General features: G+C 40.0%; 1 protein-coding gene across 12 annotated transcripts in view; it reads right to left on the bottom strand.

Annotated features, from left to right (window-relative positions):
• Nucleotides 1-19,155, bottom strand: part of NEBL (nebulette) — a 513,078-nt gene that overhangs the window by 153,962 nt on the left and 339,961 nt on the right. Inside the window, exon 3 of one of the 12 annotated variants that reach the window (XM_047424443.1) lies at nt 11,404-11,491. The exons of the other annotated variants lie outside the window; for them this stretch is intronic. The gene's annotated coding sequence lies outside the window, so the exon portion shown is untranslated. The remainder of the gene's footprint in view (nt 1-11,403; nt 11,492-19,155) is intronic. 12 annotated transcript variants of the gene reach the window in all.

Below are 19,155 nucleotides of genomic sequence, written 5' to 3' on the forward strand. Positions count from 1 at the left end.
GTATATGGCCAGCTGGGTACACTATCAGTTTCACTATCTTTACTTTTGTATTTTTTGTAAAAGTACAGGTTGATTTTAAAATATGTTTTCATTAATGTTGAAATTTAAAAAAAAAGGCCCCATTTTACACTTCAACTTTTTGTGCCTGATTTATGAAATGATTGCAAGTTCTCACTCCCTGCTTCAGACTGGACTTTAGTCTCATCTGGGACTGAGCAAGACTTCACAGACAGGTCTACGGTCAAAACAAAAGGCAAAGAAGATGGGTTCTGAGCCCCAAGTATTCCTTCTATTACAGAGAGTGCCTAGGTCTCCTTGAAACTCAAATTCGGCTGTCATGAGAATATGACAAGCATCTCAGGAGCTGAAGGGATATATAAAGTGTTTGGGACTATTTCTGCCTAGTCTCAAAGGATGTGCTTTTTGATCAGAGAGTGTGCCACAGGGACTTACTAATGTGCACTAACGCAGACTCATTAGTCATTCTCCTTGCCACACCACTCCACATTTTGAGCCTTCCACAGTGAAGTGAGTCCGCAAAACTGAATTCTAGCCTGTGGAATATGGATGGACGTGACGTGCATGACTTCCAGACTGAACCTGAAACCCGTGCTATCCACGATGGGCCCGCTCTTTGCCTGACTGCACACCAGATACAGCTCATCCAGTGGAGAATGCCATGGCCCCACTGGATACGAGAGGTGCTAGACAGAAGGGGCCTGGATCCCTGAATGACTGCATGGAACAGAGCCCTTTTAAGCCCCCTCTCTGCTACCAAGCTGTGTTGGTTTGTAGTGTCAGAGTAAAATAAACCTCTATTGTACTGAGATCTGAAGGTTGTTTATTTCAGCAGCTAACTTCCTGACTCATACAAGGTGCAACCACAGCACATAAAATGCACCTACTATTTCATTAACAGACAAATCTTTAAGACATAGCAACATTTCTAGCAGGAACAAAATGGGAAGAGAGATCTAGGACAGTATCACGATAGGTCAAGAGTTGTGATTGGAAATGAATCTGGAAATAAACTGGCATGCTGTGCAATAGTGAAGCAAAGTGCCACACGATTTTATTTATTCGTTAAAACACTTACTGAAGGCCAATACATGCCAGGTACCATGTCTGGTGCTAGGGTTAAAAATATGACTGGCCACATTCCCTGAGCTCAAAGAACCACAGTCTACCTGGCTAGAAAGAGAGGAAATTCAATCAGTCCTTCAACACAGTGTGGTAAGCATTATAAAAGTCACCCCGAGGAAGCATCCACCATCTCCTCTCAGATGGAGATTTTGTATAATACACAACATGGGTATCAATAACAAAGATCACAACATAGATTCATTTCTGGATAAAAAATAACAGAAATTTTGAATCTTCTCAAGACTGTGCTTAACACGACAACTGGCAACTGTGAGCCTACAAGTGACGCTAATATCAAGTAAGGCAGCAGACGATTATCAGCATCTCTTCATCGAATTCACTAAGCACCACATGGAAGAATGCAGATAACAGAACTGAGAACACCCCCAAGAACATGCTCCCCTCGGTAGTGAGCCTTAAAATATTTGCATCGCCTGGAAATCACACGGACTTTGGCAGATCTCCTCCTTTGCAAGGATACTGTGCAATGAGAGACTGATTCTGGAATCTGTGCCTTTTAATGAAATGGAAGCAGAATTAAAACACTGTTACCTCTTTAAATTAAAATACAGAATTTCAGAAGAAATACACGGTTTTCTCCATCCCATCTTAAATAATCTTGATGCTTATCACAATGCTTGTAAGGATGCAAAGAATCATTAGGAAATTATCTAAAAATCTTAGGGTCCTGAGTTTAAATTGCAAAATAGCTCATTTGTGAAATAATAATCTAAGAAGAATTTTTTTCACCTTCAATACATGAGAATCATTATAGGCCCAACTTCCACTCTTATCACTGGAAGTTCTATAATGGACATTAGCTCCCAGAAAAAAATTGCAGCACTATTTAATAAAGATATTATATCTAAAACTGTAAGGGATGGTAATCAAAATAACGTGCCTTCTAAAAAATCCAAATAAATATAAAATAAACTGTTGCAAATGGCAATAAATTTGAAGACTGGAAATACTGCTGCTACTTCTACAAATTCAAAATGACATGACTAATTAAAGCATTTCCATGCCAAAATCTTTCCTCCATTTTCAGTTTATTGCATAATAATAACAAAACTACCAATTATTAAGCACAATGACAAATCTTTTACTCATATTCTAAGAGCTAATATTTAATTCTCATAAAAACTCTGCAAATATTTTCATTTCCATTTTACAGATGTGGAAACTTAGACATAATAAAGTGAATGAAACAGAATCACTTTATTACTCTATTTCCTACGGTAAAAGGGGCAATAAAAAAAAGATGTGGGCATCAGAACTCAGGTCTAGTCTGTCTCTCAAATCAGCTGTTTATGCCTAACAGGCTATTGCAAATGGAACCTAAAAAATGGTGGACAAAGATTATGAAATCTGTATAAGCAGAATCCAAATTCAGTCTGCTTGTCACTCTGGCCCATGTCTTTTCTGTCCTGAATCACATAATTAACTATGTCTGTTCCCCACTTCCTTTTACAATTAGGTCTGGCCTTAGAGCAAGAATTAAGTGAGAGCTTAAATCCAAGGGACAGCTCCTTCTCTAGTGTACAAACATTCCAAAAAGCAGAAGGCCAGCTGCCTCTTTCTTGGCAACTTCTCACTGAATCTAAATAAATAATGCAGTGTTTTCTGTGTTTCAATTTTCTTTAGGATTACCACTCATTATAGTTTAATTTCTGCCTGTTCTAATTATTGCCTTTTCTGACCTTGCAAATGACCTGGTAATCCAACACTGTTCAACAGGCTTGAACATCTCCCACCTTATGAATAAGCTTGGGTCGATTCCTTTTCAGCAGCAACATAAACACTAGCTCATATCACATACTCTTAAAAAGAACAAAAGCATAAGAAGGAAATGGGACCTTTCATCAAACATCCCGTTTTTTGCCTGGTATTAATCCGCATTTCAAAGCAAAACATTTTGGAATCATTAGGAATAAATACCACCACTTTGCTTTCGATGTGTGATCTGGAAGGATTTAAAATTGCACCTGCCAAGTGCAGCCCAATGACACAGGCTCAGCTTTCTCCTGCCCTACATGAGGGCACACAGACTTCCCCAACTCTCCCAAACCATGCTAAACTGGTTTTCCCATGTCTCTCAATTACATGTTAATAAAATTCTTAAAGACCCAAAAGGAAAGCCAATCACCCCTTGGTGTACCCATCTCCACTGAGAAAGCTCGATTTCATATTTTTATTTAACAGCAACTTTCTTCTGAGTCACGCAAAGGGCTTTTCCATCATGCATTCATTCATCCTCCCAACTTAAAATAAGCATCAGATATTATCATTCCCATGAGAGATGTAGGAGAAAACAGGCATAGTGATTGAGGTACAATGTTCAGCTGAAACAGGTCACTTCAAAAGTTGAAAGAGCCAGGGGGTGGAGACAAGATGGTCGAATAGGAACAGCTCCAGTCTACAGCTCCCAGTGTGAGTGACGCAGAAAACAGATGATTTCTGCATTTCCAACTGGGGGACTGGGTTCATCTCACTGGGGAGTGTCAGAAAGTGGGTGCAGGACAGTGGGTGCAGTGCACCAAGCGTGAGCTGAAGCAGGGTGAGGCATCGCCTCACCCAGGATGCACAAGGGGTCAGGGAATTCCCTTTCCTAGTCAAAGAAAGGGGTGACAGATGGCACCTGGAAAATCGGGTCACTCCCACCCTAATACAGCACTTTTCCGACGGTTTTAGCAAACGGCACACCAGGAGATCATATCCTGTGCCTGGCTCAGAGGGTCCTACACCCATGGAGCCTCGCTCATTGCTAGCACAGCAGTCTGAGATCAAACTGCAAGGCGGCAGCAAGGGTGGAGGAGGGGCGCCCGCCATTGCCCAGGCTTGAGTAGGTAAACAAAGCGGCCAGGAAGCTTGAACTGGGTGGAGCCCACCTCAGCTCAAGGAGGCCTGCCTGCCTCTGTAGACTCCACCTCTCGGGGCAGGGCATAGCCAAACAAAAGGCAGCAGAATCCTCCACAGACTTAAATGTCCCTGTCTGACAGCTTTGAAGACAGTAGTGGTTCTCCCAGCACACAGCTGGAGATCTGAGAATGGACAGACTACCTCCTAAAGTGGGTCCCTGACCCCCGAGTAGCCTAGCTGGGAGGCACCCCCCAGTAGGGGCAGACTGACACCTCACACGGCTGGGTACTCCTCTGAGACAAAACTTGCAGAGGAACGATCAAGCAGCAACATTTGCTGCTCACCAATGTCTGCTGTTCTGCAGCCTCCGCTGCTGATACCCAGGGAAACACGGTCTGGAGTGGACCTCCAGTAAACTCCAACAGACCTGCACCTGAGGGTCCTGACTGTTAGAAGGAAAACTAACAAACAGAAAGGACATCCACACCAAAAACCCATCTGTACATCACCATCATCAAAGACCAAAGGTAGATAAAACCACAAAGATGGGGAGACACCAGAGCAGAAAAGCTGAAAATTCTAAAAATCAGAGCGCCTCTTCTCCTTAAAAGGAATGCAGCTCCTCACCAACAACGGAACAAAGCTGGATGGAGAATGACTTTGACGAGTTGAGAGAAGAAGGCTTCAGACAATCAAACTACTCTGAGCTAAAGGAGGAAGTTCGAACCCATGGCAAAGAAGTTAAAAACTTGAAAAAAAATTAGACGAATGGCTAACTAGAATAACCAATGCAAAGAAGTCCTCAAAGGACCTGATGGAGCTGAAAACCATCGCACAACAACTACGTGACGAATGCACGAGCCTCAGTAGCCGATGCGATCAACTGGAAGAAAGGATATCAGTGATGCAACATCAAATGAATGAAATGAAGCAAGAAGAGAAGTTTAGAGAAAAAAGAATAAAAAGAAATGAACAAAACCTCCAAGAAATATGGGACTATGTGAAAAGACCAAATCTATGTCTGCTTGGTGTACCTGAAAGTGATGGGGAGAATGGAACCAAGTTGGAAAACACTCTGCAGGATATTATCCAGGAGAACTTCCCCAATCTAGCAAGGCAGGCCAACATTCAGATTCAGGAAATACAGAGAACACCACAAAGATACTCCCCAAGAAGAGCAACTCCAAGACACATAACTGTCAGATTCACCAAAGTTGAAATGAAGGAAAAAAGGTTAAGGGCAGCCAGAAAGGTCAGGTTACCCACAAAGGGATGCCCATCAGACTAACAGCTGATCTCTCAGCAGAAACTCTACAAGCCAGAAGAGAGTGGGGGCCAATATTCAACATTCTTAAAGAAAAGAATTTTCAACCCAGAATTTCATATCCAGCCAAACTAAGCTTCTTAAGTGAAGGAGAAATAAAATACTTTACAGACAAGCAAATGCTGAGAGATTTTGTCACCACCAAGCCTGCCCTAAAAGAGCTCCTGAAGGAAGCACGAAACTTGGAAAGGAACAACTGGTACCAGCCACTGCAAAAACATGCCAAATTGTAAAGACCATCGAGGCTAGGAAGAAACTGCATCAACTAATGAGCAAAATAACCAACTAACATCATAATGACAGGATCAAATTCACACATAACAATATTAACCTTAAACGTAAATGGGCTAAATGCTCCAATTAAAAGGCACAGACTGGCAAATTGGATAAAGAGTCAAGACCCATCCGTGTGCTGTATTCAGGAAACCCATCTCACGTGCAGAGACACACATAGGCTCAAAATAAAGGGATGGAGGAAGATCTACCAAGCAAATGGAAAATATAAAAAGGCAGGGGTTGCAATCCTAGTCTCTGATAAAGCAGACTTTAAATGAACAAAGATCAAAAGAGACAAAGAAGGCCATTACATAATGGTAAAGGGATCAATTCAACAAAAAGAGCTAACTATCCTACATATATATGCACCCAATACAGGAGCACCCAGATTCATAAAGCAAGTCCTTAGAGACCCAGAAAGAGAATTAGACTCCCACACAATAATAATGGGAGACTTTAACAACCCACTGTCAATATTAGACAGATCAACGAGACAGAAAGTTAACAAGGATACCCAGGAATTGAACTCAGCTCTGCACCAAGCGGACTTAATAGACATCTACAGAACTCTCCACCCCAAATCAACAGAATATACATTCTTCTCAGCATCACACCACACCTATTCCAAAATTGACCACATAGTTGGAAGTAAAGCACTCCTCAGCAAATGTAAAAGAACAGAAATTATAACAAACTATCTCTCAGACCACAGTGCAATCAAACTAGAACTCAGGATTAAGAAACTCAATCAAAACCGCTCAACTACATGGAAACTGAACAACCTGCTCCTGAATGACTACTGGGTACATAACGAAATGAAGGCAGAAATAAAGATGTTCTTTGAAACCAACGAGAACAAAGATACAACATACCAGAATCTCTGGGACACATCCAAAGCAGTGTGTAGAGGGAAATTTATAGCACTAAATGCCCACAAGAGAAAGCAGGAAAGATCTAAAATTGACACCCTAACATCACAATTAAAAGAACTAGAAAAGCAAGAGCAAACACATTCAAATGCTAGCAGAAGGCAAGAAATAACTAAGATCAGAGTAGAACTGAAGGAAATAGAGACACAAAAAACCCTTCAAAAATCAATGAACACAAGGAGCTGGTTTTTTGAAAAGATCAACAAAATTGATAGACTGCTAGCAAGACTAATAAAGAAGAAAAGAGAGAAGAATCAAATAGACACAATAAAAAATGATAAAGGGGATATCACCACCAATCCCACAGAAATACAAACTACCATCAGAGAATACTATAAACACCTCTACGCAAATAAACTAGAAAATCTAGAAGAAATGGATAAATTCCTCAACACATACAAACTCCCAAGACTAAACCAGGAAGAAGTTGAATCTCTGAATAGACCAATAACAGGCTCTGAAATTGAGGCAATAATTAATAGCTTACCAACCAAAAAAAGTCCAGGACCAGATGGATTCACAGCCGAATTCTACCAGAGGTACAAGAAGGAGCTGGTACCATTCCTTCTGAAACTATTCCAATCAATAGAAAAAGAGGGAATCCTCCCTAACTCATTTTACGAGGCCAGCATCATCCTGATACCAAAGCCTGGCAGAGACACAACAAAAAAAGGGAATTTTAGACCAATATCCCTGATGAACATTGATGCAAAAATCCTCAATAAAATACTGGCAAACCAAATCCAGCAGCACTTCAAAAAGCTTATCCACCATGATCAAGTGGGCTTCATCCCTGGGATGCAAGGCCGGTTCAACATACGCAAATCAATAAACGTAATCCAGCATAAACAGAACCAAAGACAAAAACCACATGATTATCTCAATAGATGCAGAAAAGGCCTTTGACAAAATTCAACAACCTTCATGCTAAAAACTCTCAATCAATTAGGTACTGATGGGACATATCTCAAAATAATAAGAGCTATCTATGACAAACCCACAGCCAATATCATACCAAATGGGCAAAAAGTGGAAGCATTCCCTTTGAAAACTGGCACAAGACAGGGATGCCCTCTCTCATCACTCCTATTCAACATAGTGTTGGAAGTTCTGGCCAGGGCAATCAGGCAGGAGAAGGAAATAAAGGGTATTCAAGTAGGAAAAGAGGAAGTCAAATTGTCCCTGTTTGCAGATGACATGATTGTATATCTAGAAAACCCCATCGTCTCAGCCCAAAACCTCCTTAATTAAGCTAATAGGCAACTTCAGCAAAGTCTCAGGATACAAAATCAATGTGCAAAAATCACAAGCATTCTTATACACCAATAACAGACAAACAGAGAGCCAAATCATGAGTGAAGTCCCATTCACAATTGCTTCAAAGAGAATAAAATACCTAGGAATCCAACTTACAAGGGATGTGAAGGACCTCTTCAAGGAGAACTACAAACCACTGCTCAATGAAATAAAAGAGGATACAAACAAATGGAAGAACATTCCATGCTCATGGGTAGGAAGAATCAATATTGTGAAAATGGCCACACTGCCCAAGGTAATTTGTAGATTCAATGCCATCCCCATCAAGCTACCAATGACTTTCTTCACAGAATTGGAAAAAACTACTTTAAAGTTCATATGGAACCAAAAAAGAGCCCACCTTGCCAAGTCAATCCTAAGCCAAAAGAACAAAGCTGGAGGCATCACGCTACCTGACTTCAAACTATACTAAAAGGCTACAGTAACCAAAACAGCATGGTACTGGTACCAAAACAGTGATATAGACAAATGGAACAGAACAGAGCCCTCAGAAATAATGCCGCATATCTACAACCATCTGTTCTTTGACAAACCTGACAAAAACAAGAAATGGGGAAACGATTCCCTATTTAATAAATGGTGCTGGGAAAACTGGCTAGCCATATGTACAAAGCTGAAACTGGATCCCTTCCTTACACCTTATACAAAAATTAATTCAAGATGGATTAAAGACTTAAATGTCAGAACTAAAACCATAAAAACCCTAGAAGAAAACCTAGGGAATACCATTCAGGACATAGGCATGGGCAAGGACTTCATGTCTAAAACACCAAAAGCAATGGCAATAAAAGCCAAAATTGGCAAATGGGACCTAATTAAACTAAAGAGCTTCTGCACAGCAAAAGAAACTACCATCAGAGTGAACAGGTGACCTACAGAATGGGAGAAAATTTCTGCAATCTACTCATCTGACAAAGGGCTAATATCCAGAATCTACAATGAACTTAAACAATGTACAAGAAAAAAACAAACAACCCCATCAAAAAGTGGGTGAAGGATATGAATAGACACTTCTCAAAAGAAGACATTTATGCAGCCAAAAGACACATGAAAAAATGCTCATCATCACTGGCCATCAGAGAAATGCAAATCAAAACCACAATGAGATACCATTTCACACCAGTTAGAATGGCGATCAGTAAAAAGTCAGGAAACAACAGGTGCTGGAGAGGATGTGGAGAAATAGGAACACTTTTACACTGTTGGTGGGACTGTAAACTAGTTCAACCATTGTGGAAGTCAGTGTGGTGATTCCTCAGGGATGTAGAACTAGAAATACCATTTGACCCAGCCATCCCATTACTGGGTATATACCCAAAGGATTATAAATCATGCTGCTATAAAGACACATGCACACGTATGTTTATTGCGGCACTATTCACAATAGCAAAGACTTGGAACCAAGCCAAATGTCCAACAATGAAAGACTGGATTAAGAAAATGTGGCACATATACACCATGGAATACTATGCAGCCATAAAAATTGATGAGTTCACGTCCTTTGTAGGGACATGGATGAAGCTGGAAACCCATCATTCTCAGCAAACTATCACAAGGACAAAAAACCAAACACCGCATGTTCTCATTCATAGGTGGGAACCGAACAATGAGAACACATGGACACAGGAAGGGGAACATCACACACCGCGGCCTGTGGTGGGTTGGGGAGAGTGGGGAGGGATAGCATTAGGAATATACCTAATGTTAATTGACGAGTTAATGGGTGCAGCACACCAACATGGCACATGTATACATATGCAACTAACCTGCATGTTGTGCACATGTACCCTAAAAGTTAAAGTATAATAATAAAAAAAAAAGTTGAAAGAGCCTTACGAATTTATCACATAATCCATATAGCATAGGAAGTTATTTCTTGTTTCTTACCCACATGTCCTGCTACAATGCAAAGCCAACTTCCTTTGCTTTTAACTAGGATCAAGTCCTCGATTCCTTACACACGTAAAACTAAGTCGTTCAAAACTATTCAGTTACTAGGATCCTACTTCTCTGTATTCTGACTTTAAGAGTCAAAGGTAAATGGCCTCAAGCAAGCATCCTCATAAGCTGGCAAAACATGGTAATTCCAGACAGTGTCCTGAGGACAACAGGGACCCAGGGCCATCTCTTGGGTCGTCTGTATCCACTAAAATGACCTATGCTAGTCAATCAATGTCTACGGTCTAGTCTCTGGTCTGTTTAATGAACAAGAGGCGGTTAAGTTTTGGAGTCAAAGTTAGCTACCTTATGGTTCACCATCTAACTTTCAGACACACAGTCAATAAAAACAATAAAAGTTAAGGCTTAACTTGTATTTAAATATAGTTAAATATAGGCCGGGCGCAGTGGCTCAATGCCTGTAATCCCAGCACTTTGGGAGGCCGAGGCAGGCAGGTCACCTGAGGTCTGGAGTTCAAGACCAGCCTTGCCACCCTGGTGAAACCCCGTCTCTACTATAAGTACAAAAATTAGCCAGGCCTGGTGACGGGTGCCTGTAATCCCAGCTACTTGGAAGGCTGAAGCAGGAGAATCACGTGAACCTGGGAGGCGGAGGGTGCACTGAGCCAAGATCACGTGACTGCACTCCAGCCTGGGCGACAAGACCAAGACCCTGTCTCATAATAAAATAAAATAAATTATATAAATAAATAAAATTAAATATAATAATTGGTTTACCAGAACACCCCACATTGCAGACATTTTAGGTTAACTGAGATTTTCTGTGTTTGCATGAGAACTAATGTAGCATTTCTCTCTATATTTGTATGAGAACTAATGCAGCATGCAAGGCTAAAGGCATACATATTTATATGGGTTTGCACTCTCTCACACCTGCCAACCTGAGAGCATGTCTGAGACTAGCTATCCCAGGCTTGTATCACAGTTGGAGCGTGAGCACACCATTGCCCAATTTACAAACCACACAGACACCTTTGCTCAACATTTGTCATTCAATTCTAAATCAATGCAATAAAAGTGCCTAAGTTAGTTGTTTAATTGGCATTGCTTCGACATACAGAGATACAAGAAATCATAATTGTTTCCCTTTTATTCTCCAAAAGCAGACATGTACAAATCCTAGTGCCATAATCATACCCGGCTCAACAGTCAGACATAAGAGGCCACAAGATCCCATATGACAATTAGAGTGAAATCCAATCCACATAAGGGCCAAGTTGACCACAGGACTAGATTAAGCACTCTCAATATTTAAACAAACAATAACCCTGAAATGTAGGGTTATTTCCTTACTAAAAAATACTTTTTAGTTACTCTTCAAAACTTTCAGGATAAAATTAGTATTTGCAGCTCATTAAACACCACACAGTCTCATTCTTCATTCCTGTACGTGCAGTTTCCCTACATGCGAAGTTTTTTGCCACCCACCATTCACCACTGCCAAGTCAGTCCTCACTTGTGTCTATCCTTATTCATTCTTAAAAACTCATCTCAGGACACTTTCTTCTGTAAGCCATCTGGGACCGTCACCAAACCCCAGCTAGGGTTAGGTGCCTTACTCTGTACTCCAAAAATTCCCACTCTTAACACACTTACCAGGCTACGTTCTGTGTTCTGCATTGACGGCTGTGCTTAGATCTTGTACCCTCAGCTCCTAAGATAGTGTCAAGCTCAGAAAAGGTACCTTCAGAGAATGGAGGAACAAGTAAAGTAAGCATATTCTGAAGGAGAAAAAGCATCAACCCTTAATAACATCATGCATCACGTGAATAAACCACAGGTAAATTGTCTGGAAAAATGCAAAGCCTTCTTATATCCCAGCACATAAAGGAACATCTGAGTGAGATTCTCCTTAGGGATGAGAAGAAAGTCTGGTTCCCAGTGTTAAGAAACTTGGAATTTCAAAATTTGGTCCTAATACTCACCATGCAGATCCCAAAATGCCGTTTAAGAACACACTAGCTTCCGTACCGACAAAAAGAAACCAAAATCTTTGGACATTTGCTCTGTGGCACAAGGGCTCCAGATATAACATATAATCAATGCTCCCAAAATCCTGGTGTAGAGGATTCAAGTACTGGACTTTGAGGTCAGAAAAAAGAAAAACAAACCAACAAACTTGGACTCCAGTCCCAGCTCTGTTCTTTACTGATTGTATGCAATTAAATAATTCATTTATCCTCTCTAAATGCCAGTTTGCTCATCAGTGAAATGAGAATAATGACAAGTATTTCCAGGGATTGTTGCTAAAAATAAGTGAAATAACAAACATGAAAGATGGCCCGACACACAAGAGCCCTTCATGAATGTTCGTTCTCATCTCTTCCCTCTATTCGGGTATGTGGGTGTCATCTATGTACGAACAGGGATGCACAGATGATTGACAGGCCCCTGCTTGAGTCTTGAACAGCTAAATGAGGACAACGAAGGTGAGAGGCAGCCCTCATAGGCTGTATGAGCAAGGAGCCCATCGTGTTTCCTCCAAAGTCTACATGTTGTTTCTGCACATGGAAATTGGATTTTCAAATAATCTTTTCATCTTTTCAGGAGCTCACTATGAAAATCTATGTTTTCAAGAAGCTGTGGCCCTCGTGCTACTGGTAGTTAGCAGGATGAAGCTGAGTCAAGGAACACACAAAGACCTTCAGAGGTTTTTCAAATATTCCATTTCTTGAGCCAGGAGTAGCTACGTGGCTACCCATTTTATTATTTTTGTTTTTTGTTTGTTTGTTGGTTTTGAGACAGGATCTCGCTCTGTCACCCAGGCTGAAGTGCAGTAGTGTGATCTCAGCTCACTGCAACCTCTGCTTCCTGAGTTCAAGCAATTCTCCCACCTCAGCTTCCCAAGCAGCTGGGACTACAGGTGCACGTCACCACACCCAGATAACATTTGTATGTTTGGTAGAGACGAGGTTTCACCACGCTGTTGGCCAGGCTGGTCTCAAACACCGCGCCAGTCCCGTTTTATTATTCTTTAAACTGGACATATTTTCTATCAACTGTTTTGTATGTGTAATATAGTTCACAATCTAAAAGTGGGGTAGAGTCTTAATATCAGGAGGCTGGAATCAGGGATTCTAGATGTGGAAATCCTGGCAGCATTTAACAAAGGATAACATTTATTTTTTTGCCTCCTAAACTGATGGGTTTTTTTGAATCGTTAATAGCTACTTCTGTGGAACCCATACAAGTGCCAGGAGGCTCACCACCCCAAGATCCCCAGAAACTGACTGACTCCAAAGAATTTGGTAGTGAGACATACAAAGGTCCCCTAAAAAATAACCAGGAGTACAGGGTGCATCCTGAGAATAGGATGATGCTGATGATATCTGAAGGATTTACAGTTTAATACTTAATGAGTCCTTTTTTGAATACACCTTGAAAGTCTGTTTCTGAATGACTGGGAATTTCAGCAATGCCTGTGGATGTGAGTTTCAAAGAGTCATATGTCGAAAACAAAAGGCAACCTGGACTAGAGGTCAGAATGCCTCGGTGCTAGCCCTGAGTGTTTCACAGAGAGCATTAGGGGAGTTGTAGGGTAACTTTCAAAGTATTCAGGCAGCACAGATTTAAGATGAGAAGGTACTTTGTCTGACATCCTCATATCCTCATTGGCTAGAACAGCAAAACATAGGCTATTGTATGAGGGCAGGCTAGAAAGTGTCAAACTCACCTGCTCCCCTCTTCTTGTGCCTTCTCTTAGGACAACATTCCCCTCCCCACCCCACTACCTCCCAGTTTTTGGTGTATGTATGACAACTACAAAATAATTTAACTAAATATTTAACTTCTAAAGATATAATTGTAACAGTCACAGTAATAATCGATGGAGTAATCTGCAAAAGTAAAACAGCACTGATGAGCTTCATAGTTGTTTATTATCATTGTGCCAGGCTTTGCTATTTACAAATCACAGCCATTGACATTTTTACTGAGAAATCACACACACACACACACACACACACACACACACACAGTGTCAGGAGACAAAAGGGTAATAGTGTAGGAAGCAGATGGAAGGACGGCTTCATAGCAGACTGAGCACATGCTTCATGCGTAAGTGAGGTAAGGGGCACCCAAAATAGAAAAGAATTCAACAAACTTACACAGAAGTCTGCAATCAGACAATCTAACAAACACCGAATTATTTTCAGGTTATCTGTATGTCTTATGCTTTAGAGCAGGGGTGTCCAATCTTTAGGATTCCCTGGGCCACACAAAAAAATATGTTAACACTAACAAAAGGTACATGTATAAATCTCATAATGTTTTAAGAAAGTTGATGGATTTGTGCTGGGCCACATTCAAAGCTGTCCTGGGTCGCATGTGGCCCAAGGGCCATGGGTTGGACAAGCTTTAGAGTTGAGTGTTGTTCCTATTTTTAAATTTCTTTCATTTAGGGGGAAGTATCATCTTTTTTATGGAATTTAGAGTCTTTAATGGTTTGCATCTAACCCTGGAAGCAGAAATAATAATGGGATAGAGGTTAGAAGCAATGTAAATAATCTTAACCATCTGTCCGGCCTCTTGCTAAATATTTCATGCCTTTCAACCAATAACATAAAGCCTAGGATCAGAATCCAATATGCTAGTCAGTTTACTCCAAATAACCCAGTGGTGTGGTTTATTTCATTATACCCATGACACTAGTCCTTTCCTTTTATAAATACCAAAAAATATTATTTTCTCCCTTAAGTAAATCAAGTAAATAATGGCTTACCCTTCACAGTACTCAGTTATTTAATGTATCAAATGCCTTATCTGGCAAAACTTGAATGTGAAATAGTTATGGAAGTGTTTACAATAAAGGCACAGGGGTGGACAAGAACAAGTTTTGGAGAAAATGAGGGGAATAAATGGTTAACTGCCAACAGACACACACTCACGCTGGAGGACACAAAAAGGTTCACAGCAGTTGTTAAATTCATTTAGAGAAACTCACTTTATTTCTCCAACAGAGCTCTCACCAGCTAATCTGTATTACAACCTGCAGGATTCTTAATATTCTCAGCAGGATCAAGATTCGGGCCACACTGATTCAGCTATTTAATCTTGCAAGAGAACAATATTTGGCAGGAAAAGACCCCACAGCACTGAGGGGATGTCCCAGTGGTTTGTCGTTAACACAGACTGGGCCAAGAACGCCAAAGGTGGAAACCAAACAGCACTAAAACCAATGTTTCTCTTTTCCTTTCACTAGCTCTGTCCTCAAACACATATGTGCACTCTACACATACGTGGCAAACACATATGTCACATGTGCAAAGACAGCTATTTCAGATGCATGTATGTTTTTAAAAGGCAAAATATTTCCTGAATATTTTGGGCCCTGTCATGAAAAATTTAAAATTCAAAAGTATTGACTTCCTCTTTTCCTATTTGAATACCCTTTATTTCTTTGTCTTGCCTGATTGCCCTGGCCAGAACTTCCATTCTCAGCAAACTAACCCAGGAACAGAAAACCAAACACTGCATGTTCTCATTCCTAAGTGGGAGTCATACAACGAGAACACACGGACACAGGGAGGGGAACATCACACACTAGGGCCTGTTGGGGGATGGGGGAAAAGCGGAGGAAGAGCATTAGGACAAATACCTAATGCATGCGGGGTTTAAAACCTAGGTGACGGATTGATAGGTACAGCAAACCACCATGGCACATGTATACCTATGTAACAAACTTGCACATTCTGCACATGTATCCCAGAACGTAAAGTAAAAAATAAAAAGAAATTCAAAAGTATCACACACAGGTTGGAGGCAGGAAAAGAGATGAAGGAACCACGGCCAGAGTTTCACTTTCAAACTCTTTAATCTTCTTAAGCATTGAAAATCGAAATAGTAAAAACATATTTATGAATTTTTAATGTATACAAATTTTTAAGATACTGATTTTTTTTAACCATTTTGAAATTAATAAGCTGAACAACACTCTTCTATACTTGAACATTTGCAATGTTTTATATAGAATACTGTGGTTTGATTTCCTTTTGTGTTTTGTTTTTTTTCTGCTGAGGACGTCTTTATTTCCTTATTTAAATGGCTGTTAAGCGATTTAGATGGTTTGACTTAATTTTTTGTGGTATTTTCTGGAATACTGATAGGCAAATAGTGAATAAAGAAAACAGACATACAGAAGTGGACAAACTTAAAAATAAGATGTATAGCCTCTATTATTAAACAAAGATTATAAATCACTCTTGAAATCAATGATTCAGTGAAGTTTTTAACAACTAATAAAATAGTATGACTCGTGTTCAATTCCTTTCCCTCCTAAACCTGAGTTTGTTACCCTCTGATATTAACACAGCATTTCCCTCTATCTGGCATTTCTCCCATTTAGAACATTAGATGTATTATCTCATATACAGAGCTTGTTGCTCTAACATTGTCTGCTGCCTGTCAGGCTAACTACAAGCCGCAGGGCATCGGGGGTCATCTGTGCTTTATTCCTCATTAATCCCACCTCCTAGCAATGTGCGCGGCACATAGTAAACACTTTAAAACATGTTTGTTAAGTCAATAATTAAGATCTCAAAAGTGGTATCATCTAGAAATGTTTGTTTTGGATTTATAGATGCCCAAATTATGCACATTTGAAACTACGATAACTACTCCTTCAACAATCCTGCCTCAACCTATATTTCAGGAATGGGATCTCTCCCTGCACTCTAACAAGGAGACGCCGGGTGTTCCTAACCTTATATTCATCTCTTCCCTTCCTTCTGCCTCTTCTCCCTCATAAACACTTTTACATCCAACCGAGGCCCTCATGCATCCTAGGATGAACATGAAACACATCCAGAAAAGTGGTTTTTCACTTTTTCTGAAATCCACACGGCCTGATGCAATGTCATGTCCAGACCCAATGTTTCATGAATAAAGGTGTATACGTGTCAGGTAACTGTGAAGGTAATTTCTACTTCTGTCTTATACTTTACAGTCAAAGCCCCAGATTCTGGAGGATTTAAACATGATCAAGAAATGCCACTTATCATCAAAGGCCTCACACAATTACACAACAAAAATAAATATTTCAATCACTTTGTTTATGGGAAATTGATTCTATCAAAAATGACAGTGTTAAGAATAATAGAATGGTTTTTAAGGTTTTTTCCTGTATTCTTTTTTTCTAAATCCATACTCTCTTTCCTGGTTTGCTAAACACAGGCAAATTCTAACACCTTTATAATTCTAAGGATGCAATGATACAAAGCTTAATTCAAATGGTTAAATATTCCTTTGTGGCCTGGTATGGTGGCTCATACCTGTAATCCCAGCACTTTAGGAAGCTGAGATGGGAGGATGGCTTGAGCCGAGGAGTTCAAGACCAACCTGGGCAATATAGGCAAACCTTATCTCTATTCGAAAAAAACAAAAAAAGAAGCTGACTTTGTTACAATTGATATAGCCACAAAAGGAAAAATCAAAAATATAAAGAAGCAAAAAACATGACTTCCTACTTCTTGTCCTTGGAACCAAATAGAGTCTGGAGGCATTTCACAAAAGCAATAGGTCCTTCAGACAGAAATTTAGATATCTTTGTGCAAGCAGCATTGCATGTGATTCTGTACAAAAGAGAAAAAGGCCACAAAGCAGGCCTGACAACCATGAATGGAAAGAAAGCTATAGAAGAAAATATGAGCAAAAAAAAAAAAAGAAAGAAATGCAATTTTTATGACATAATCCTTCCAGGAAAATGCAAAGTAAATTAGAGAGCATAGTTGCATACTTAAAAAAAAAAAGACATTCTTGTTTCTAACTTCCAAATCATAAAATTTTCTCTAATTGTATAAACTTGGCTTAGATTACCAATGGATTTTGAATTAAATCTCTATACAATGTCTCCCTTGACTTATGACCCTCCAATAAGCTAAAATAACACTCAACTATTACTCTTAAGAACTAAGAAAACAACAGGTTTTAAACCTGCCTCTAAAACTTCATTGACATTATAATTATATGGCCTAATTATTAATGATAGTCACATCTGGGACTCCAAAAATATATACATAAGAGTTCTGGTTTTTCTTTAACATTCAGGATATTCTACTCACTGTGGCTATGTCCCAAAAGGTATAATAAAATCTGGAAGAAAATTTAGATACTTTCAAAGTTCTAAATCTGCATCATGCACTGGAAATTGAGACGTGAAGCTAGTCTTTGTTAGACTTTCCCTGTGTCCTGGAAATTTTTTTTCTATTCTCACCTCTCTGCCCTCCTTTTTATTCACATCTGCCCAGGCTAAACTGCTAGCACGGGACATGTGAAGTCCACATTCTGAACTACATAATTCAACCAAGATCTGGAAAACTTAAAAACTTCACTACACTCTAAAGTATCTGTGTTTCTATCAATGACTAATGGCTCAAACCTGGAAATGAAAAGTTTTAAAGGTTCAATTAAGAACCGGGGCCAGGCGGGGTGGCTCACACCTATAATCCCAGGACTTTGGGAAACCGAGGGAGGTGGATCACCTGAAGTCAGGAGTTTGAGACCAGCCTGGCCAACACGGTAAAACCCCGTCTCTACTAAAAATATAAAAATTAGCTGGGCGTGGTGCCAGGCACCTGTAGTCCCAGCTACTAGGGAGGCTGAGGCAGGAGAATCACTTGAACCCAGGAGGCAGAGGTTGCCATGAGCCGAAATTGTACCACTGCACTCCAGCCTGGGCAACAGCGTGAGACTCTGTCTGAAGGAAAAAAAAAAAAAAAAAAAGAACTGGAAATAGGATATAGGAGGAAGTTTTTTTTCTTTTTTTAGTTAAGAATATTCAGCTTGAAAATAGGGAAAAGTTTAAAACTGAATGTAGAAGTTTTCCTGGAAAGGCAACAGGTAGAGGGTAGTATTATCTAGCTTCACTAAAGAAACTAGCTCATCTGTCAGGGTACAGTGGCTCACGCCTGTAATCCCAACACTTTGGGAAGACGAGGTGGGCGGATCACTTGAGGACAGGAATTTGAGGCCAGCCTGGTCAATATGGCGAAACCCCATTTCTACTAAAAATACAAAAATTAGCTGGGCATGGTGGTACATGCCTGTAATCCCAGCTACTCAGGACACTGAGGCACGAGAATTACTTGAACCCCGGAGGTGGAGGTTGCAGTAAGCCGAGATTGCACCGCTGTACTCCAGCCTGGGTGACAGAGTGAGACCCTGTCTCAAAAAAAAAAAAAAAAAAAAAGAAAAAGAAAAAAGAAAAGAAAAGAAAAGAAAAAACAAGAAATTAGCTCATGATAGCAGCTTATATTATAATTATGTGACACTTTGGATATTTCAAAGCACATTCACAAAGTGTATGTCACTTAAATACCTCAAAATTTCCCTGTTATACATGCAGATCATTCC

This window comes from Homo sapiens, chromosome 10 (genome assembly GCF_000001405.40).
Source record: "Homo sapiens chromosome 10, GRCh38.p14 Primary Assembly".
NCBI lineage: Eukaryota > Metazoa > Chordata > Mammalia > Primates > Hominidae > Homo > Homo sapiens.